The sequence below is a fragment of the Homo sapiens genome, chromosome X (assembly GCF_000001405.40).
Source record: "Homo sapiens chromosome X, GRCh38.p14 Primary Assembly".
Lineage (NCBI taxonomy): Eukaryota > Metazoa > Chordata > Mammalia > Primates > Hominidae > Homo > Homo sapiens.
Window position 1 is genome coordinate 38037006 of NC_000023.11, and position 24047 is coordinate 38061052.

General features: G+C 37.1%; 1 protein-coding gene across 28 annotated transcripts in view; it reads left to right on the forward strand.

Annotated features, from left to right (window-relative positions):
* Positions 1-24047, forward strand: part of SYTL5 (synaptotagmin like 5) — a 239906-nt gene that overhangs the window by 148091 nt on the left and 67768 nt on the right. For 27 of the 28 annotated variants that reach the window (XM_017029972.1, XM_047442658.1, XM_011544001.3 and 24 more), the window contains one exon: positions 17208-17417. In XM_017029972.1, the coding sequence (XP_016885461.1) occupies positions 17208-17417 (210 nt within the window). Of the gene's footprint in view, positions 1-5216; positions 5779-17207; positions 17418-24047 lie in introns of those variants that run through there. The other variant, XM_047442671.1, reaches the window with a different exon arrangement.

The window sequence follows — 24047 nt, forward strand, 5'->3', positions numbered from 1 at the left end:
CAGATCCCCTGGAGTCCCTCTCACCTCCTAGTTTTCATGCACTTTATTCTAAGGACTTGAAGTACAAAATTACCTTCGGGTGACTGGAGTTTCCCATAGGATTAAAGAGACACAAGTGCCAGGTAAACTTGAGTGTTAACTGGGTAGCCCAAAGCCAATGGTTGACGGGTACAGAAATCCATTGCCTCAAGGCAGAACAGACTCTGCAATGCAACTTAAGCTCCAGAGCTTCCCGTGGGATGATGCTGAGGCTGGACTTCACCTAAAAATCACACCCTTGCTTAGCCCCTCTCCCTGCCTTCTCCTGCCTCCCTTACTCCCTTATAGATTTCTCTTGAGAGCACTACATAAGTCGCTTGCACACAAATCTACATAGCAGAATTCGCTTCTAGAAAACCCAGTCTGAGACACTATGAAGTTTGTATTACCAAAGCTATTACTATTTAGTAAAGTTCGTTTCAGGGGAAATATAATAAGTCTGCAAGGTGAGCATTAAAATAAAGAATTTTGGTTCATTTGATTTACAAGCTATGATCTTCCCAACAATTTTTATCACAGTCATTGTGGTTTACATACTGGTAAAGAAAAAAGTCCAAGCTAAAGAAAGAAGCCCAAGATTAAGCATCTTGGTCAGATAATATAACTTTCTGTTGGCTTTTCTCCCTTTATCTCCTCTGAATAGCCATTTTATTATGAATTTAAGTACAACCTAAATCAGTTCAGGGTACCTTAACTTTAGCGCAGTGGGTCTGCATGGCAATTAAATTCTGCAAACATTTTTCTGATAGATAGATAGATAGATAGATAGATAGATAGATAGATAGATAGATAAAAATATTTATTATAAAGAATTGGCTCATATGATTATGGAGGCTGAGAAGTTCAGACCTAGGAGAGATGATGGTATAATTTGAATCTGAGTCCAAAGGCTGAGAACCGGGAGAGCTGATGCAATAAGTTCCAATCCATGTCTGGCAGTCAGTAGCAAGGGAAAACTGATGTCCCAGCCTGAAGACAGGGAGAGAAAATTCATTCTTACTCAGCTTTTTACTCTATTCAGACCTTCAGCGGGTTAGACGAGGTACATCCATATTGGGGAGGGCAACCTACTTTACTCAGTCTACTAATTCAAATATTAATCTCATACAGAAACACCCTCACAGAAACATCCAGAAATAATGTTTAACAAAATATCTGGGCTCCCAGTGGTCCAGTTAAGTTGATACAAATAATTAACTGTCTCAGGAATTTATATAAAGCTGGCTATAGCCCCCGTTCCCACACTTTTGTGAATTGTATAGCTCATCCTGACTCTGTACCCCCGCTTCTGTTGAACTCTCCTCTCTCCTTGCATCTCACCACTTATGGCTATTCCTTACTCTTTTCTTTGCCAGGCCAGAGAACTTAGTCCTTTTTCCTTGATATCCTCCAAAACCATCAATACAAGAAATTTAGATGGGTAACAGATTTTATTACAACAGTAAACTTTGGTGCTAGCTATTACAATAGTTTTCATCATGCTATAGAGGTACAAATGGATATTTTGGGGGGAGTCTAAAGGAAGAAGTAATTAATTACAAGTAAGATAGAAACTGAAGCAATGGTTTCACAGAAAAGGTGAACGTTTGTGCTTGCCTTTGAAATGTGAAAAGGACTTTTCACATTGGCAAATATAGGTCAACTATGTTTTGGCTGTTTACCATGAGCCACAAAGCCACCTTCAGACTGTACTAATCAGTTTCAGAAGGAAATGGAAACCAAAATTTTTTTTAGACTGAAAAAGATTACAAAGAATAAACTTATCTGAAAAGTTAGTAAAGTGGAGTTTGGGAGGCAGTGGATTTATTGTTCGTTTGTGTGTTTATTTGTTTGAATAGCTTGTCCTTTGAGATAAAAATGTAGAAGACGGAGAAAGCGTAAAAATTGTACTGAATCAATATTTTAGGCCTGACACCCAAATGTGCTTCACAGTCCACATACCCACTAAAGTGTGGCATTGATTAAGGTGGGACTGGTCTTTGGGGACTCGTAAAGGTGCTCCATACCCAGAAGGCACATGGCAAGCCTGATAATTACCTCCAGGCATAAATCATCAGCTGGGGAATAGGCATCTGTCTACTACCATTGCATTTTAAGTTCATTCAAGAGGCTGAAATATATTTGTATACATTCTTCTCCTTCAGACTAAGCAGGAAGGAGTGGTAGGAGATAGCGAGACACAGGTTTTCACTGTTAGAGGGTAAGAATATTTTTAAGGTTCTCTATGGAGAGCAAGTCACTCAAATTTATTGACGGCTTTACTGCAATGAAGAAAAAGCAGAAATGTTGCAAATAAAATTGAGCTATCAACAATTATTGCAAATGGATAAAAATACTGACAGTTTCGAAGCACAAAATGGAAATCATTGTTGATTATTTTGATTTTGTACCTTAGATTGCTTTTCATTTACTTCAAAAGAACTCAGACTAACATGTACGTGGGTCATAATATCTACTCCAAAAAAATCTCATTAACAAATTTTTACTCTACTTGATCTCTCACACCTAAAAACAAATACTGTTAAATATCTACTTTGTGGTATTGACTTGTACTTAAAAATCCTCAACTTATTAGTGAATATTCATTTCAGCAGTATATTGTGAGCTTTATTCTCACTAAGGGTACATCATTTCCATTTGACCACCATACATGAAAACATATCTGCACATGTTTTCTTTGGCACCTAATCTTGGGCTTGCCTCAGTGGTAAACTCTATTGGTTGCCTTACAACATAACATTTCTCCTTTCTTTCTATCCAAATCAAAGTTTTATTCAGCTCTAGCAGTGAATTTTTTAAACAAATTTTTTCTCAAAAAAAATTTTTTTTATTTTTTAAAAAATGTTTTAGGCCAGGCGTGGTGGCTCACGCCTGTAATCCCAGCACTTTGGGAGACCAAGGCGGGCAGATCATGAGGTCAGGAGATCGAGACCATCCTGGCTAACACGGTAAAACCCCATCCCTACTAAAAATACAAAAAATTACCCGGGCGTGGTGGCATGCGCCTGTAGTCCCAGCTACTGGGAGGCTGAGGCAGGAGAATCGCTTGAACCTGGGAGGTGGAGGTTGCAGTGAGCCGAGGTCGCACCACTGCACTCCAACCTGGGCGACAGAGCGAGACTCCATCTCAAAAAAAAAAAAAAGTTTTAAATATTTGTGGGTACATAGTAGGTGTATATATTTATGGGATACATGAGATGTTTTGATACAGGCATGCCATGTGAAACAAACACATCATGGAGAATGGGGTATCCATCTCCTCAAGTGTTTATCCCTTGAGTTACAAATAATCCAAATAAATTCTTTACTTTAAAATATATTATTAAGTTATTATTGACTATAGTCACCACACTGTGCTATCAAATAGTAGGTCTTATTCATACTTTCTATTTTTTTAACTCATTAACCATCCCCCCCCCGACCCGAGCCCCACACTACCCTTTCCAGCCTCTGGCAACCATCCTTCTACTATCTATGTCCAGGAGTTCAATTGATTTGATTTTTAAATCCCACAAATAAGTGAGAACATGCGAAGTTTGTCTTTCTGTACCAGGCTTATTTCACTTAACATAGTGATCTCCAGACCATCCATGTTGTTGCAAATGACTGGATTACACTCTTTTTTATGGCTGAATAGTACACCATTGTGTATATGTACCACGTTTTGTTTATCCATTCATCTGTTGATGGCTGCTTCCAAATCTTGGCTATTGTGAACAGTGCTGCAACAAGCATAGGAGTGCAGATATCTCTTCAATATACTGGCTTCCTTTTTTTGGGTATATACCTAGGAGTGGGATTGCTGGATCATATGGTAGATCAATTTGTAGTTTCTTGAGGAACTGCCAAACTGTTCTCTATAGTGGTTGTACTAATTTACATTTTCACCAACAGTGTATGAAAGTTCCTTTTCCTCTGCATCCTCGCCAGCAAATGTATTTTGGTTTCTTGTGTAAAGCTGGCTCAGTTGAAATGCGCCACTAAATAAGCCAGAACTTAATATCTCCAAGAGACCACAGACCCCAGCCTAGTAACTCCCATTCACCTTATGGTTTTCTCTTAATGTGACTGATTTTGTCATTTCAGTGCTAGGAGAAGAGAAGGAAGGAGAAACAGGAGGGGAGCGTGCATTCAAATTGCTTATTTGGAATCCTGCAGATAAGTTCAATATTTGGTTCAAATGGATTTGAAGTGATTTCAAGAATTATACATTCAGCCTGGAAGTCAGGGAGTCTAAGCGCCAAGCAATAATACCCTTTTAATACACTATAAATGTTTGATCATTTGTTTGTTTTTCCAAATCTTATCACTCTACCACTAAGAGCAAAATTAGTTTGACCTTCTCAAAAGCCTAAAGACTCATTGTCCCCATAAAACACCAGGAGAACTGTTGGACTGGACTTCTAGTTTGGTAAACACTTTGGTTTAATCCTAATAGAATTGCCACAAAGCTTCTTAACGGATTAACAGAAACTCCCAGCATGAACATACTGGCTCCCTAATGGAACTCAAATGCTTAATGAGTCACAGAAAAATGAACAAAAATATTCAGATCTGCCTTAAACCTTGGACGTTTTCCTAGCAAAGACCTTACCAATTTCAATATATAATTACATTTAGGGAAACTAACTTTAATTTTGATTCTAGAGCATTTTTCTCCGAGGAAGCGTTACTTGTAAGGTGCACCATAGGCACAGGGCCACAAATACCTGATATTCAGAGACATGTTAAACATTGGATTGTCCAAATAAATAAACTTGCCAGATCATTTTTAATATTTTTTTACATTTTATTTTATTGACACATAGTAGATGTACATATTTTCAGGGTACATGTTATAATTTCATACATTTATATAATTTGTAAAGATCAAATCAGTGTAGTTGTGATATCCATCACCTTAAGTATTTATCTTTTCCTTATGCTAGAAACATTCTAATTATTCTCTTCTAGCTATTTCAGACCATTTTCTTGGGGGTTTGAAATAATAGATCACCATAGTCATAAGTAAGATTGTTACCTGAGACTATATCTATTATCTGTATCTACATATGTCTCTATATAGAGATCTATATTATTTCAAATTATTAACGTGTTTATATTATATTCATATAAGATATATATTATTTCAAATACCTAGACTATATATAGAAATATATATAGAGATAGGTTTTCTCTCTACATATATAAGTGGAGAGAGTCTATATAAAGAGAGACTCAGTATAGGCTGGGGATTGGTTTCAGGGCCCGGGTGTATACCAAAAGCCACACATACTCAAGGCTAAAGTTGGCCTTGTGGAACTTGTGTATAGGGAGAGTTGGCCCACTGTAAATGTGGGTTTCATATTCCACAAATACTGTGTTTTCAATCTTCATTTGGTTGCAAATGCAGAACTCAAGGTTATGGAGATCCAACTTTGTTTATTTTTTAAAAATCCACATATAGATGAACCTGGGCAGTTCAAACCCATGTTGTTCAAGGATCCTCTGTATATTTTTTACTCTTCCCCATATTCCCATTTTACTACCCTTTCCCTTCCTTGTGTATTGTCTCTAGCCAGAATTGGTATAGAGGTCATGTCTCTAGGCAGCAGGGGTTAGTTGGCACTCACATCCCAAGAAACTACCATTCCCTTTCAATGCAAATTGCAGAAACAGAACAATAAAGCCCATGTAATCCAGAACCTGGCTGAATGTTGGGGCTGGAAGGGGGAGTAAAGAAGACCCATCCCCTCAAAGGTAAGTCAGCTCATAAGGGAATATCTAATATCAACTATATCCTTGGAGAAATAGGTATTTTATTCCTAAGAAAATGATATAAGTGAAAACTTCACTAATAAAAATGTCACCACTAATATTTTAGATTTCAGGCAAGTGACCATTTTATATCAACAGTAATCTTATAAGAATGTTCCTATGTTAATAGAAGTTATGGTTTAACCAATTTAAATTTATAATAAGATTAGGCTAACATGCATTTCATAATTTTTATAATTGTTCTTTTATTGCAGAGTAATTAAGCATAATGAAAATATTTAATGCAAAGAAATTAATAAAATTCTTACACAGCAAGCAATTTTTTAAAGTTTTTAATCTCAGTATTGTGCTAGGATCTATAAAGGGCATCAATGTCTGCAACTTTTAAAATACCATAAACCTCAATCCACTTAAACATTTAATATCTTCTGATACATATTTTCATTATAGAATCAATGGGCTTATTACAGAAAATTACATAACCATATAATATGAACATTAAAGTCTCACATAGAATTCCACTTTCCAGAGGTGAATAGTCTCCATTTGTGTTGAATTTCCTTCCTGTCACTTTTATGTGTATATATATACACATATATATATGCAATTTTCATATAGTTGGAAATTGCATGAAATTTACATATACATACTGTATAAAATATCATAAACCTCAATCTGCTTAAACATTTAATATTGTCTGGTACATATTTTCATTAATAGAATCAATGGGCTTATTATAGAAAATTAGATAACCATATAATATGAACATTAAAGTCTCACATAGAATTCCACTTCCCAGAGGTAAATAGTCTCCATTTGTGTTGAATTTCCCTCCTGTAACTTTTATGTATGTATGTATGTATATATATATATATATATATATATATATACATATATATATACATATTTTCATATAGCTGGAAATTGCATGAAATTTACATATACATACTATATATGTAAATTTTATTCTTTATTTTTGCTTTGCATTATTTCATGAACATTTTTCATGTCATTAAAAATTATTTGTAAACATTTTTATTGGCTGGATAAGATTTCATAACATAAGATTTTTCCATATAACATGAATGTGCAACGTGTTTCTTAACTATTTATTCTTATTTCCATGAACATTCTCATTCTTAAATCCTCTTATATTGTGATTCATATTTTGAATAATATTTCCTTAATTTTAAAAACCGGCAATCTGAGAAAATTGATTCAATTAAGACCATGCATCTTGTGAATCAGATTGTTTATTGTTTATCACAAATCTCACCTTCCTTTCGTAGAATCTGAAAGTTTGTAATTAACTGCCAGTGATGGTTTTCAGTGAAGCATTTAAGGAAAGAACAACACATAAAGGAAACATTTATATTCATATTCAACAAATTTCAAAGAAATGGTGACAACATTTCTTGTATCATGTACTGATACTGACAACTAGGGAAACTGCTCGAAATGTGTTTTGCAATAACCTTTATCTGTGAAAATGTGAATCCCCATAAGTATCACCTAAAAAGGTAAAATGGGAAAAAGTAAGTACTGATAACTGCCTTTGCTGAACATATAACCCCTTCCCCACCACATTTAAAATAATTTAGTTTGCACAAATTCAATTTAGAGTCATTCTAGAAATAAACTTCAGTTATACATTTATAAAAACTAAAATGGAAACCCTCTAGTATGTGTCCATATTCAGCAGCAGAATTGGTTTTAAAGAATTTTTCATGAGCAACATGTTCTCTCTAAAGTATCAGTTTTTTTGTATGAATGCCCAATTTTCTTCCATCAAGTCAATTCTATCATTGCATTGTGATACCAAATATTTTAAGAAGCCCAGCATTTTATCTTGGTTGTTTTTTAAAGAAATGCAGCTTTCCTACTTCTTGCTGTACTGATTCTATCTCCATCTCTGTTTTTTTCTGAGTAATTTATCATATTGATAACAAGACTTTCTGATGTTTTTAATACTCGAGCAAGGTATTCTTTGGGTTTCAGATTAGCAAAACACATTCTTGTTTCTTAATGGGCCAGGAAATTGAGACAATAGTTATTTTAAGATAGTTCCATGTGGGAGACTTGGTTTGCTAATTACGTATGAGATAAATTTCTGCTATGATAAGACTATAGTGAATAAACAGCAAGGTATCAAATTGCAGTGATTCCTAACTCCTTTAGAGTTGTAACGAGCTGTTTTTGTCATATTATTTATAAGATCCCTGTCTTAGGTTGGATTCCCCCAGAGGTAGACCTTGAACTCATGATTTGTGTGCAAGTGATTTATTAAAGAGAAACCATAAACTACTAGTAGGGAAAGCAACACAGGAAAGGAGAAGAATCTAAGCAAGGGTGAGAAGTCAGGCAAAATTTGGCAGAGGTCACCATCATCATGACTTTACAGAGACAGATAATGTTTGCTGTTTTGTCTCCATTGTCCTTTTTAAAAAGAATTCAGAATGAATGCTTGAGTCATTGTCCCTTTGCATATATGAGCACATTTAATGTTTCTGGAAAATCTGTAATAAGTCATTGATTCTCTTAGGTTATAAGGGATTGGTTAAGTTCTTCCTCGTATTTCTGTGGTTTTAATTATTTTCCCTAAAACTGTTACTTTTCAGCATTATTGCTCCGTTGTTTTCAGTATTTTTTGGATTTGGGTTTTTTGTTTTGTTTTGTTTTGTTTTTTGTCAATTGCCTGTCAGTTGACATGGTTTTGTGAGATTTTCCGGTATATTCCTATGAGCCAAGCTTTTTAATATCAGGAAGTTTCTTCTGCAGATATGAAGACTTCACAATGCCCTCTTTCCTTGAGACTATTTGTAAACATGAAATTGGCACAAGTCACAAGACTTCTTTATCTAAACAAGTGTTCTTTTACTCCTTCTTCTTGTTACTTTCTCTTAAGCAGCTTTTTATCCAGGCATAACTTTTTCCCAGTTCTCAGAGAGTTGTGATTCTTTTTAATAGCCTTTGATTTGAAAACTAATCAAAAGTTATACAAAATGTATTAAGATAGAGTCATGCTTGTTGAAGAATGACTCTCTTGGGGAATATTTGTCATGAGAGACTTTGTGATAAGATCCAGTTTGGGCAGATGCCATATGTTGAAAGAAGCTGGGCGGGCGGAAGAAACCCTCCATGTTTACTGAGGCTTAACTTTGAGTGTGCTCAGCATGGCTTTGCACAGCTAGGAAAGAAACAACAGTCATGAATAAATACGGAGTCCTTTCTGAGCAAAAATATTTTAATATATTGAGAGCCAGTGGGAGGATACTGGTGTGTGGGAAGAGTGCAGATTTTGGAATGTAAAATTCAGGGTCTGAATCCTGACCTCCTTATTTAATAGCCCTGTGACCCACAAGTTACCTCTCGGAGATTCCACTTTCCTGTCTATAAAATGGGAATCATAATGTATTTTTCATGGGTTGTTGTCAAAGCAATGGTATGACATGTGTATTAGTTCGTTTTCATGCTGCTGATAAAGACATACCCAAGACTGGGCAATTTACAAAAGAAAAAGGTTTAATGGACTCACAGTTCCACATGGCTGGGGAGGCCTCACAATCAAGGCAGAAGGTGAGAGGCACGTCTCACATGGTGGCAGACAGGAGAAGAGAACTTGTGCAGGGAAAATTCCCTTTATAAAAGCATCAGATCTCATGAGACTTATTCACTATCATGAGAATAGCATGGGAAAGACCCACCCAAATGATTCAATTATTTCCCACCAGGTCCCTCCCACAACACATGGGAATTATGGGAACTACAATTCAAGATGAAACTTGGGTGGGGACAGAGCCAAACCATATCATTCTGCCTCTTGCCCTTCCCAAATCTCATGTCCTCACATTTCAAAACCAATCATGCCTTCCCAACAGTCTCCCAAAGTCTTAACTCATTTCAGCATTAACTCAAAAGTCTGCAGTCCAAAGTCTCATCTGAGACAAGGCAAGTCCCTCCCATCTATGAGCCTGTAAAATCAAAAGCAAGTTAGTTACTTCCTAGATACAATGGGGTACAGGCATTAGGTAAATACAGCCATTCCAAATGGGAGAGATTGGCCAAAATGAAGGGGTTATAAGCCCCATGCAAGTCTGAAATCCAGGGGGGCAGTCAAATCTTAAAGCTCCAAAATGATCTCCTTTCACTCCATGTCTCACATCCAGGTCACGCACGCTGATGCAAGAGGTGGGTTCCCATGGTCTTGGGCAGCTCCACCCTTGTAGTTTTGCAGGGTACAGCCTCCCTCCTGGCTGCTTTCACGGGCTGATGTTGAGTGTCTGTGGCTTTCCTAGGCACACAGTGTAAGCTGTCAGTAGATCTACTGTTCTGCGGTCTGGAGGACAGTGGCCCTCTTCTCACAGCTTCACTAGGTGGTGCCCCAGTAGGGACTCTGTGTGGGGCTCCATCCCCACATTTCCCTTCCATACTGCCCTAGTTGAGGTTCTCCATGAGGGCCCTGCCCCTCCAGCAAACTTTTGCCTAGGCATCCAGGCATTTCAGTACATCCTCTGAAATCTATGCAAAGGTTCCCAAACCCCAATTCTTGACTTCTGTGCACTTGCAGGTTCAATACCACATAGAAGCTGCAAAGGCTTGGGGCTTGCACCCTCTGAAGCCGTGGTCTGAGCTCTACATTGCCCCCTTTCAGCCACAGCTGGAGCAGCTGAGATGCAGGGCACCAAGTCCCTAGGCTGCACACAGCATGGAGACCCTGGGCCCTGCCCATGAAACCTTTTTTTGTTCCAGGCCTGTGATAAGAGGGGTTGCCGCAAAGGTCTCTGACATGCCTTGGAGACATTTCCTGCATTGCCTTGGTGATTACATTTGGCTCCTCATTACTTATGCAAATTTATGCAGCCGGCATGAATTTCTCCTCAGAAAATGGGATTTTCTTTTCTATCGCATCGTCAGGCTTTTATGCTTTGTTTCCCTTTTAAAACTGAATGCTTTTAACAGCACCCAAGTCACCTCTTGAATGCTTTGCTGCTTAGAAATTTCTTCCCCCAGATACTGTAAATCATCTCTCTCAAGTTCAAAATTCCACACATCTCTAGGGCAGGGGAAAAATGCCACCAGTCTCTTTGCTAAAACATAACAAGAGGCCAGGCACGGTGGCTCATGCCTGTAATCCCAGCATTTTGGGAGGCTGAGGCTTGCAGATCACAAGGTCAGGAGATCGAGACCATCCTGGCTAACATGGTGAAACCCCCTCTCTACTAAAAATACAAAAAATTAGCCAGGCGTGGTGGTGGGCACCTGTAGTCCCAGCTACTTGGGAGGCTGAGGCAGGAGAATGGCATGAACCCGGGAGGTGGAGCTTGCAGTGAGCTGAGATCACGCCACTGCACTCCAGCCTGGGCGACAGAGTGCAACTCCATCTCAAAAACAAAAAAAAAATAACAAGAGTCACCTTTGCTCCAGTTCCCAACAAGTTCCTCATCTCCATCCGAGGCCACCTCAGCTTGGATTTCATTGTTCATATCATTATCATTTTGGTCAAGGCCATTCAACAGGTCTCTAGGGAGTTCCAAACTTTCCCACATTTTCCTGTCTTCTTCTGAGCCCTCCAAACTCTTCCGACCTCTGCCTGTTCCCCAGTTTCAAAGTTGCTTCCACATTTTTGGGTATCTTTTCAGCAGTGTCCTATTCTACTGGCACCACTTTACTTTATTAGTCTGTTTTCATGCTGCTGATAAAGACATACCCGAGACTGGGCAATTTACAAAAAAAAAAAAAAAAGAGGTTTAGTGGACTCACAGTTCCTCTTGGATGGGGAGGCCTCACAGTCATGGCGGAAGGTGAAAGGCACATGTCACATGGTAGCAGAGAACAGAAGAGAAATTGTGCAGGGAAATTCCCCTTTATAAAACCATCAGATCTCATAAGATCTCACTATCATGAGAATGGCACAGGAAAGACCCACCAAATGATTATCTCCCACCAGGTCTCTCCCACAACACCTGGGAATTATGGGAGCTACAATTCAAGATGAGATTTGGGTGGGGATGCAGCCAAACCATATCAACATGTAAAGTAAAGTGCCTGTTATTATGTGGCTAAGTGTTGTGAAATTTAGGTTTTAATGATAGGCACTGCATGTGGAAGCTACAGCACAAATGAAAGCATAATTTTTTTTATATTCAGAGTACAGAAAGAAGGTCTGGTCAGCCTTGAATTTTCCTCAGGCAAATATGAAATACCACAGTGTTGATGGCATTGTCTCTGAATCTTACAAAAGATGGGAGTGCAAGGAGCTGTGCAGGCATCAGAATCAGGCTGCTGTGACATTATTCTGCCCGCATATATTATTTTAGTGATTTTTGTGTCATTGTTGACAATAGACTTTGTCAGTCACTGTGGCCTTGCTCTCTTAATGGAATATGAAACACTAGTTCTAGAGAAGTACTTAGCTTGCAGGCATTACATCAGAGGCTGAAGCAAAACCTGACAGCAACATCTCTGCAAGTGGAAGAAAGAATAAAAACTAATATTTCCTGAGTTCTTATTGTATTTTTTTGGGAAATAGGTTTGGCTGCGGGTGACAGAGACACATTATAATCATGACTTAAAATGGGAACATATTCCTGTCTAACGTAAAAGTCTGGGTTGACTGGTGGCTTTTGTGGTATTGTTATGGGGGCTGCATTAAAGCAGGGGTCTGGACTCCCTATCTTTTGTTGCTCCACCATGTTGAGAGTTTAGCTCTTGATCCAGGATGGTTCATTCCTATGTTCTCATCCCAGCTTCAGGAAAAAGAGAAGAGGTCAAGGGAAGAGGATTCTCCCTCTTCCATTAAAGGCATGACCTAAAGGTATATCGTTTCTGATTACACTCCATTGGCCAGCATTTAGTATCATGACAAAACCTAACTGCAAGAAATACTGAGAAATCTAGTTTTTATTCTGAGTGGCCATGAGTATAGCTAGATGTTCCACTAATAAAGAAGAAAGGGAGAACAGATATTGGGAAACACATACCAGAATTGTCTATTCCATAATTATTATGTGTCAAGCTGTGCTAAACACTTACAAACATTGTCTTACTTAATGCTCATAACAACACTGTAATGCTGTTTTTACAGAAGTATTTTGAGACACAAAGAGGTTAAGTCTCCTTAAGTCTTGAGACAGAGAGACGTTAAATAATTGTCTTAAGGTCTCAGAGGAAATAAGTGGCATAGCCAGAACTTGAACCCAGGCACTCTGACTTTAGAACCCTGTGCTCTGGGCCACTGTGTAATCCTTGCTTGCTCATTATCTCCCTTAGGCCTTGATGTGCTCTACTAGATGAGATTGTTTAAAAGCATCAAGGAATTAAAGATACTTTATAAACTGTTTATTCATGGCTTCCTCTTCAAGGCAGCTAATTGCTTCCATTCTAAAATTCCTATCTTATTTGGTGTAAAATGGTGTTCAGTACAATTTGGTCCAGACAAGATAACACAAGAAAAATAATGCCACACAAATGTGACAAGAATTTTAATGAAAGCAATTCCTGATTTGAAAGAAATGTGTCTATGTGATGATAAAGCAAAAAGTCTTTTTAATACATGGAACATTTTTGATGATGGGATGGAAAAAAACATTCAATATATCACTAGAATACAGAAATGAAAAGATTGTATCATTCAACAACCATCAAGATAGTTAATCTTTTCAGTCTTTACAATTTCAACTACATATAGGTCAGCAATTTATATGTTAATATAAATGTATCTATAGAGCAACAAGGAAAATTAAAGAATGTGAAGCTGTTGTAGATTTGGTGGTCAGAGAAAACCTTCCCTGGGCAAGCAGCAGTAAAACTAAAATTAAAAAAAAAATAAGCGGGAGCCAGCCAGATTAAGAATTAAGTTGTATGTTTATCAGTCAATATAGGTTAAGTGATGCTGCAGTAACAGCTCCAAACTCTTAGTGGCTTAAAACAACAAAGATTTCTCACTCATGCCACATGTTCATAACAGGATGTCTGGGGACTCTACTTCATGGCATTTTCAGACCAGGATCCAGACTTGCAGAGCAGACACTATTTGGAACATTGTCATTCTCTATGGAAAGAAAAGGGTGTGTGGTGAACCCTGCCCTTGATTTTAAAGCTTTTAGCTGGGATTACTTACCACGTTTCATTGGCCAGTGTGAGTCACATGATGACATCTAATGCCAACAGGGCAGAAAGGTGCAATCCCAACTTGCTTTCAGAAGTAAGGAGAATGGGAAGTATTTAGTGAACAGATAAATGACTACTGTTTTGGGTGATGGAATGTGGAGGGAAGGCATTCCCAGCTGAAGAAATAGCATGTTCAAAGGCCCTGAAGTGGGAAAGAACTTGGTATATTTATGAAACTTTAAGAAGAATTATGTTGCTGAATCCTATCTCCTATCTGTAGACAGGAGATGACCAGAGGGAAGAGGGAGCAGATTAGGCAGATCTTTACAGGCTATGGGAAAGAGGTATAAATTTCATTAAAAATATAAAGGAAAACTACTGGTTGGTTTTAAGCAGAGGAACCACATGATGTAAGAAATATTTTAAAAGAGTATTGACTAATGATATTGATTATTCCATGGAGAGTAGATTGGAAGGGAATTGAAAGTAGGGACACCTAATAGGCACCTTTTCAAAATTCTAAGTGAGATTGCATGGTGGTTCCAGTTTAATGCAGTCTTATTTGAGGCAAATATTCCATCTATTTTAGACATTTTTTAAATTATTAATTATTATCCATTTCAATCTCCTTCCCATATGCCTCAAATTCATACAGCACTTCAAGCCACTGCAGTGAGCCACAGGGAAGGAATAAAGGTTTTCTTTTCCTCTTCTTTTACTTCTTTTTCTCTTTTCTCTTCCCCTACTAAGGATCTGTGCCTGCTTATGTTGAAGGAAAGGAAAGAGAAAAGTTATGCTTCATTGCTTGAAATATTTGGTGATGGGACAAAGAGGTCTCCTTTCTGTCGTCATTACCATTTCTCCATATGAAACTGATAACAGAAGGCTGTGATATCTTCTCACTCTGTTTAATCCACATGAATGTTCAAAGAGCTGATATTCTGCCTCCAGGATGTTTGTAGGGTAGGAGACGCACAATCCCAAGCAGGGTTCCTTCTGTTCTGGCTCCAAGGGGAAGTGAGGCTGAGAGGAGAAATGATGGATAATGAGAAAGTGATGTACTCATTAGAACTGAATAATGGTTTCAACAGTGTTTAAATTCATGATTTTGGATATAATATAATTTCTAGAGATAACAACTTCCAGGGTTTCTTCATGAGAGTGAATGGTGCACATGGACAGGAAGGTCAAAGAAGATGACCAGGTCAAAGAACTGAAAGCCCAGGGAGTTGGATGTGTTATGCCCAGGAATGATGTACTCTGTAAGAAATGAAGCCAAGTCAAGGGTATATCCATTTCCTGTGGCTGCTGTAACAAATTACCACAAACTTGGTGGGGACTTAAAAGTGCTTAGTATGGCTGCCTGTTGCAACACATGAGTCATGGTGTGTCATTTGTCTCCTTAACTAACATAAAGGGTAATGGTAATTCTTAGTAGATGTTTTGTTTAGACTCATTTTTTTCCTCAATACCAGAATGCCTAGCACAGTGTAGGCGTACTATAAGTGCTTGTTGGATGAATGAGTGAGACATGAAGTCAAAGATTTTAAAAACTTTGCTCTACAGTTTGAAAATTCTCTTTTTATGAATCTATCATCAGGCTGAGAAATAAATGACCTGGTTCCTGATTCCATCTGTACTGCTTATTATTTTTAACATGAGTCTTACAATACCTCACAAGCTAGTTTGAAAGATCAAAAGAAATAATAAATAGCTTTAAATATTCAACTGCTTTATTACCTAGCATGAAATTGGATCCTGAGCAGTATATACAATAAACTAAGGCCTTTGTTCCTGCCTTTGGGAAGATGCTAGTCTAGATGGGCATGACAAAGTTTAACACCACAAATGTAAAAAGATATGGTATAAAATGTGTGGGATGATTCTCAATTTTTTTTTCCTAGAACATAGACATTCTGTGTTGAAGAAGAGATTGGCTCAGTAGCACCAAGCAATGACATGTCTGTGAAGCATTTAAGTGAGAAGGAACCTGTCTTCTGGAGCAGTGTTTTACAAATTTGGCAATATATTGGAATAAACAGTGAAGCTTTTAAAAATCCCGTTACCTAGGCCACATCCAAAGCTAATTATGTTAGAATCTGTGGAAGTGAGATTTGCGAATCAGTATTTTTAAAATCTTTCCAAAGTGATTCCAATATATAGCCAAATTTGAGACTGAATCTCCAAAGCTGTGCTTCTCCAACTCAAATCACCTGAAAATTTTGTTAAAATGTAGGTTCTGATCCAACAGGGTCTAAGGCAGTGCCTGAGATTCTGCATTCCTAAAACGTTCCCAGGTGATGCTGATACTGCTGGAACAAGGACCACACTTGGAACAGCAATTTTCTAAAGGATAAATATATCACATGTCAGGTAGTAAAAGAAGGGACATGGAACCTATGTACCAAGCAGCATGCTGGGAACTTTACATTTATCATCTCATTTAATCTTTAAAACAATCATGAAGGAATATTATTACTCTCATTTTAGAAATGAAGAGACTGGGGTTGAGTGGGTAAATCATTGCCTGAGGCTGGACAGCTTATTCATGATGGAACCTGGATTTAAACATAGGCATGTCTAACAGCAAAGCCCATAGGCTAATAGAAATTGTTGGAAACTTTCAAATGCTAAGCAGAAGCTTTTCGATGTGAAATGGTAGGCAGTCTACAGCCATACCACTCTGAAAGCACCTGATCTCATCTGAAATGGTAGGCAATGTCTTTATTACTTTTCTTAAGTGCATGGAGATTGTGCCTACAATGATGCTGAGTTTGATTTCACACTCCTGCCTCAAGTAGTATATATAGGCAGGTAAAGAACCAGGTACTGTGTATGCCTGTAACCTGGGGCCATGCTCTCTAGTGTTATGGTATCAAAGATATCCTAGAGAAGTTACAGTAGAATGAGAATAAATACTAATAGCAAAATAATAGTGCTGGAAGAGAATGTCAAAATTCAAAAGTAAAACACAAACATTTTATTTTTCAGTTACTGATATCAAAGGATTGTTGCCTCTGGAGGGAGAAATTGTATTTCCTGAAAATATTTGGTTCTAACTCCTTGATTCAAATGTCCTTCCAAATGAAAATATCTCTTGATTAAAGAGATGGGAATTGAAACTAGCGACACCAAATAGGCACCTTTTCAAAATTCTAAGTGAGATTGCATGGTGGTCCCCAGTTTAAAGCAGCCTTATTTGAGGCAAATATTCTATCTATTTTAGACATTGTTTTAGACATTGTAGATATCTCTGCTCCTGTTTGTTTTTTTAAGTGATTTTTTTTCCCCTCTTCTTTCAGGAAGCTGAAAAATGAACTCTTAGAAGCAAAACGTAGAAGTGGGAAAACTCAACAAGAGGCCAGCAGAGTTTGTGTTCACTGTCACAGAAACCTGGGCCTAATCTTTGACCGGGGAGACCCTTGTCAGGCTTGCTCACTGAGGGTATGCAGGGAGTGTCGAGTTGCAGGCCCCAATGGCAGCTGGAAGTGCACTGTCTGTGACAAAATCGCGTGAGTTTCTTGATTTTTCATGGAAAGTGGAGATTGATGACTGAAGGGATTGGAGTGGGGAAGGCAAAAGAGAAAAAGAGTATTTTAAGTTTAAGGATAGAGAGTGCAGGTGAAATTACAGCCCAATCACAGGCTTAGCAATGCCTTGGCAGGGCTCTGGGGTGTGTGTGTGTGTGTGTGTGTGTATGTGAGAGAGAGAGAGAGAGAGAGAGAGAGAGAGAGATACAGAAAGAATATTTTTTTAAAAATTGCAAAGCATTGTAAAATTGGAAGCCTCACTGAACCATATCTCTTTCTTTTTAATCATTATTAATATTATTATTTTAGGGACAGGGTCTCACTCTCACCCTGGCTGGAGTGTAGTGGCTGTTATCATGGCTCACTGAAGCCTCGACCTCCTGGGCTCAAGTGATCCACTCATCTCAGCCTCCAGAATAGCTGAGACTACAGGCATGCACCACTACACACAGCTAATTGAATGGCAGGGTCTTGCTGTGTTGTCCAGGCTGGTCTTGCACTCCTGGACTCAAGGGATCCTCCAGCCTTGGCCTCCCAAAGTGCTAGGATTACAGGCATGAGCCACTGCACCCGGCCACTCTTTCTGTATTTCAAAACTTCCCCTGAGCATCCTTGTCTCAGGGCCCCTCTTGGCTTCACGTGGCTCCTCAGAGGGCATAGATAATTTCCCTGAGACATTCTTAGACATTTGAGGTGACTGGCAATATGGTTCTCACATGTTCAGCCTGCTCTGCACATCAGCTGACAAGCAAAGCTGGAGTACTTCCCGAATTTCCTCCAAACCGAATTTCCTCCAAATTCTTTCTCATTCCTTGAGAAAGAATGAAGGGAGAGAACCTTCCCATTTGCCTCTCTGTTTAGCCTGTGGGAGTGCAGTAAGCACAAATTTCACTTTGCCAACTTGGGTGAAAGCCAAGAGTCATTGTTTTCTCAGTTCAGTTAAACCAGTCTTAGTCTGATTCAGTCTCTACTGCTCCCCTCCTTTTGAGAAATTTCCCCTGAATCCACTGGTATGTTTTCTCCCTCCCAGTGTCTGTCTCCTCTGCTCTGGGAGGTGCCTCATAATCTCATCTCAAGGCAGCTGAGTGTTCATCTACCTTTCCTGTGAATCCAATTCATTGGTTTTTGTTTTGTTTTTTGCCTAGTTAACTCATCCTGTTACAGTAGTTTAGGGGCTGTCTTGGGAGGAAAAGTAAATAGTGAGATAGTAGAAGTGATCTTTCATTTTCATCTTCTCTAAATGAGGACTACCGTTCTGTTGAAGACGCCTATATTCAGTGCTTACATTTTTAGCCAATGTTATGTTCCCTGTACTGTTTCACAAAAGTGATCCTGAATAGAGCAATTCAAACTATGTTTTAATACTGGATTGAGATAAGTAGGGTTATTTTTGTGAATACATAGCAGGTATATATATTTATGGGGTACATGAGATATTTTGATACAGGCTTGCAATATGTAATAATTACATCAGGGTAAATGGAGTATCTATTACCTCAAGAATTTATCCTTTGTGTTACAAACAATCCACCTATACTCTTTTAGTTATTTTTAAATGTAAAATTAAATTATTATTGACTATAGTCACCCAGTTATGCTATCAAGTACTAGATCTTATTTATTCTGTCTAACTATTTTTATACCTGTTAGCCATCTCCACTTCCCTTGACCCCCACTACCCTTCCCAGCCTCTGGTAACCATCCTTCCACTCTCTATGTCCATGAGTTAAATTGTTTTAATTTTTAGCTCCCACAAATAAGTAAGAACATGTAAAGTTTGTCTTTCTGTGCCTAGCTTATTTCACTTAATATAATGGCCTCTATTTTCATCCACGTTGTTGCAAATGAGTGGATCTCATTCCTTTTTATAGCTGAATAGTACTCCACTGTGTATATGTACCACATTTTCTTCATCCATTTATCTGTTGATGAGCACTTAGGTTGCTTCCAAATCTTGGCTATTGTGAATAGTGCTGCAGTAAACATGGGAGTGCAGATATCTCTTCAATATACTGATTTCTTTTCTTTTGGGTATATACCTAGGAGTGGGATTGTTAGATCATATGGTAGCTCCATTTTTAGTAGTTTAAGGAACCTCCAAACCGTTCTCCTAGTTGTACTAATTTACATTTTCACCAACAGTGTGTGAGAGTTCCTTTTCCTCCACATTCTCACCAGCATTTGTTATTGCCTGTCTTTTGGATAAAAGCCATTCTAACTGGAGTGAGATAATAGCTCATTGTAGTTTTGTCATGCATTTATCTGATGATCAATGTTGTTGAACACCTTTTCATATGCGTGTTTGCCATTTGTATGTCTTCTTTTGAGAAATGTCTGTTCAGTTCATTTGCCCATTTTAATCAGATGATTAGATTTCTTCCTAATCAGATTATTAGATTTTTTGTAGAGTTGTTCAAGCTCCTTATATATTCTGATTATTAATCCCTTGTCAGATGGGTACTTTGCAAATATTTTCTCCCATTCTGCAAGTTGTCTCTTCACTTTGTTGACTGTATCCTTTGCTGTGCAGAAGCTTTTTAACTTGATATGATCCTATTTGTTCATGTTTGCTTTGATTGCCTGTGCTTGTGGGGTATTTCTCAAAAAGTGCTTGCCCAGACCAATGTCCTAGAGATTTTTCTGCGAAGTTTTCTTATAGTAGTTTCATAGTTTGAGGTCTTAGATTTAAGTATTTAATCCACTCTGATTTGATTTTTGTATGTGGTGAGAGATATGGGTCTAGTTTCATTCTATGCATGTGGATATCCAGTTTTCCCAGCACCACTTGTTGAAGAGACTCTCCTTTCCCCAATGTATGATTCTGGCACCTTTGTGGAAAATGAGCTCACTGTAGATGTATGTATATGTTTCTTCATTTTTTATTCGGTTCCATCGGTCTTTGAATCTGTTTTTATACTAGTACCATGCTGATTTGTGTATGCTATACAGCATAAAAACATAGAAATTATAGTTCTGTGGTATAATTTGAAATCAGGTAACGTGATTCCTCTAGTTTTGTTTTTGCTCAGGACAGCTTTGGCTATTCTGGGTCTTTTGTGGTTCCATGTAAATTTTAAGATTGTTTTTTGCAGTTCTGTGAAAAATGTAATTGGTATCTTAACAGAGAATGCATTGAATCTGTATATTGCTTTAGATAAACAGTTTTAAAGAAACGAATCTTTTAAGTTCTTTTATTACTTACTTTGGATACGTTATTTTGATTTACTTAAGCAATTATTCTCAATTCTTTATCTCACATAAATAAATTTTTCTTAGTCCTTTCTGTCATCAGCAAACTTCCTTCTCCAGATCTGGGAGGATGAACAGTGATGAAATAAACAATATATGGATTTCAACATAATCTTTTACTGATTTGAAGGAGCTCTTTATATATTCTACGTACAAGCTATGTTGGTTACCTATATTGCAGATATCCTCTCTCACCTCCTGACTTGGCTTTCCATTGTCTTAATGGTATCATTTTATGAACAGAAATCTCTACTTTTTAGTAGTTCCATTTGTTAATTTTTTCCTGGATTACTAGAGGGATTTTTTTCTGAATCCTGTTGAAGAAAACTTTCCCTAACACCAAAATCATGAAAATATTCTCCTATGTGATGTTTTATAATTGTTATTGTCTTACCTTTTATCTTTAAACTTATAATCCACCTGAAACTTATTTTGTGTGCATACTGTGAATTAGAAACTGATTTTTATATTTTAATGTGGGAATTATGCAGTGGCTGATTTGAGTATCCTAGATAACTCTATTCAATGATGTTTGTTAATTGCATTGTCCAAGTCTTCCATATACTTAGTGATTTTTAATCTGCATATCCAATCAGATATCGAGAAAGGTATGCTAAACTCTCTCAATAATAATTGTGGATTTCTTATTTATCCTTTTAGTTTTGATTATATTTGCTTTATATATTTAGATTTACTACAGAGTTACCCTTTCCACTGCTCTTTATTCTTTGCTATATCTCTATGCTTCCATCAGAATAATTTTTCTTCTTCCTAAAGGGTACCCTTTAGTATTTCCTTTAGTGTGGCTTTGCTGGTGGTGAATACTCTCAATTTTTTTCTTAGCATGGCTTTATTTCACTCTTAATTTTCAAATGTGTTTGCACTGCTTATTGAATCCTAGGTTGGATGTTATTAACTTTCAGTAATTTGAAGATCCTATTGGCTTCTGATTTCCAGTGTTTTTATTAGGAAATCAGCTATCAGTATATTATTGTTCCTTTGAAGGTAATATTTTTAAAACGTTTTTAATATTTTCCCCTTTTTGTCGTGTTTTCAACAGTTACTATAACAAACCTATGTCTGATTTTCTTTGTATTTATCTATTTTGATGTTCCTAGAACATCTTGAACCTGTACATTAATATCTTTTGTCATATTTGAAAACTTCTCAGGGAATATCTCTTTAGATATTTCTTTTCCCCCATTATCTGTCTCCTCTATGCCAGGTAGTCAAGATATGCATCTTAGTAATATTCAGCATCTTTTAGATATCTTTATGCTCCCTTCTGTATTTGTTATCCATTTACATCTCTAAACTCAGTTTGTATATTTTGTCTGACCTATATTTCAGTTCATGAATCCTGCCTTTGTGTCTAATTTGCTATTAAACACATCCATTTAATTCTTAACTTCAGTTACTGTGTTTTTCAGGTTTAGAATTTTCATTTTGCCTCTGTTATGTTTTCTAACCGTCTGCTGACCTACTCATTTTTTTCTTGTAATTTCTTGAAGTAATTATTTGGAATTATGTTAAAATGTATAAATTATAGATCTGTTATCTGAGTCCCCTACGGGACTACTTCTATTGTTTATTGTTTCTTGTGGTTTTGGTCATGTCTTTCTTCCCGTAAACCTAGTGGTTTTTTATTGATGGCCAAAATATATGAAGAAATGGTAGGACTTAATGAGACTCTGTATAATATGCCTCTATTGAGAATGTACATTTTTCTTCTGAAAGGGAATTAGGATAAGGCTCTTGCATATTTAAGATTACCTTAATCAAGTCAAGGATTGAACTAATTTCAAAATTGGGACCTTGGTCCCCATGAGGGCTGATCTGTTTCTGGATCACATAAACTCATAGGGAATACTCCTTCAGAGACTCATAACATGCCTATTAGATAAGAGAGGCAATTGGTTTTATATTTTATGGATAGTGTAAACAAGAACGCTAAGAGTTAGATGTGTGTTAGTAGAGTTGGGATGAGTTTAAAAGTTTTGGGGTTTTTTGTTTGTTTGTTTGTTTGCTTGTTTTTTCACACAGCTCTTTTCCCACCAGATTCTGCCAAGATGAGATTTTCCATTTTAGAGCAATGAAGAAGAAAATTGAATTTTAACTAATGACTGATTTGCTAGTCCTCAACTATGGAGTCTGAGGATTTATGGGGGAATTTCTCAATAACTATTTCTCTAAATTTATAAAATACTATTTGATCGTTAGTATTTATTTTTGTCATTTATATTCCATGTTTGTTCACCCTCTTCTTTACACCCAAGGCCCTCACTCACTTAGACAACAGTAACCAGGGACTGTGACTCAAAAACTCTTCAATCAATTATAAGTCATCTTAAGCTTCTGTACCGGGAGAAGAATTTTATCTTTAACTTCTAAATATCACTATCTAAATATATCTATCTAAATATCATTACAAGGTAATTACTGAGGTATACTTTTCAATACAAGATCCAAGGAGATTGTGTATTCACACATTTTGCCATCAACTAATCTGCTAGTTAGTACGGATGATAACTAGAGGCCTAAGTCACTCATACCGCTCTCCTACATTTTATCAGATTAACTTTAGGTTATTTTAATGAGAAATTAACTTTTAATATAAGTCAGTGGAATTCGGAGATTGTTTTAGAAGCTAGCCTACCCAAATTAATATAACCCTTTCCTGTGGTTTTTCCCTTAATACTTACATGCTCTATATTTTACTTATTTATCTTATTATTTTTCTTTCTCCACTAGAATGTAAGGGCAGGAGTTTTTATCTGTACTGTTCACTGATGTAGTTCTAGTGCCTAAAATAATGTCTATAGTAGGTACTCAATGAATACTTGTTAAATGAACAGATAGATGAATGGATAAACAAACAAATGAACAATTGAATGGATGAATAAATGGTTGGCCTCTACTTAAAGTATATCAGGCTTAAGCAAGTGGAACAAATGTAGAACAATTGTGGTTTTCTTCTGTCAGGAGCATGGGATTAAAAAGAAATGAGCCATGCCAAATGCATTTGCCCTCTGAACAAAGTAAATTCCTAACTGTCACGTAAAGATGTAACATAAGTTGTTGTCAGAGGGTATAAGAATAAATAATAACAAATCAAAACTTCCGTGTCTTCCTTGGGACATGTTAATGCATTGATACAGAACTTCTGAATCAATTGCACTAATTTTATTGGTGTAACAATAATTTAATAGACCCAAATATCCACCTATATAATTAATCCATTCATTAACCCATCCATCTATCTTTCCCACACATTTATTGATAACCTGTTAAGTATACTAGGGACTAAGGATACAAAGTTGAATAAAAAATGGTCTATCTTCAATGGTTACACAGTATAAGGAG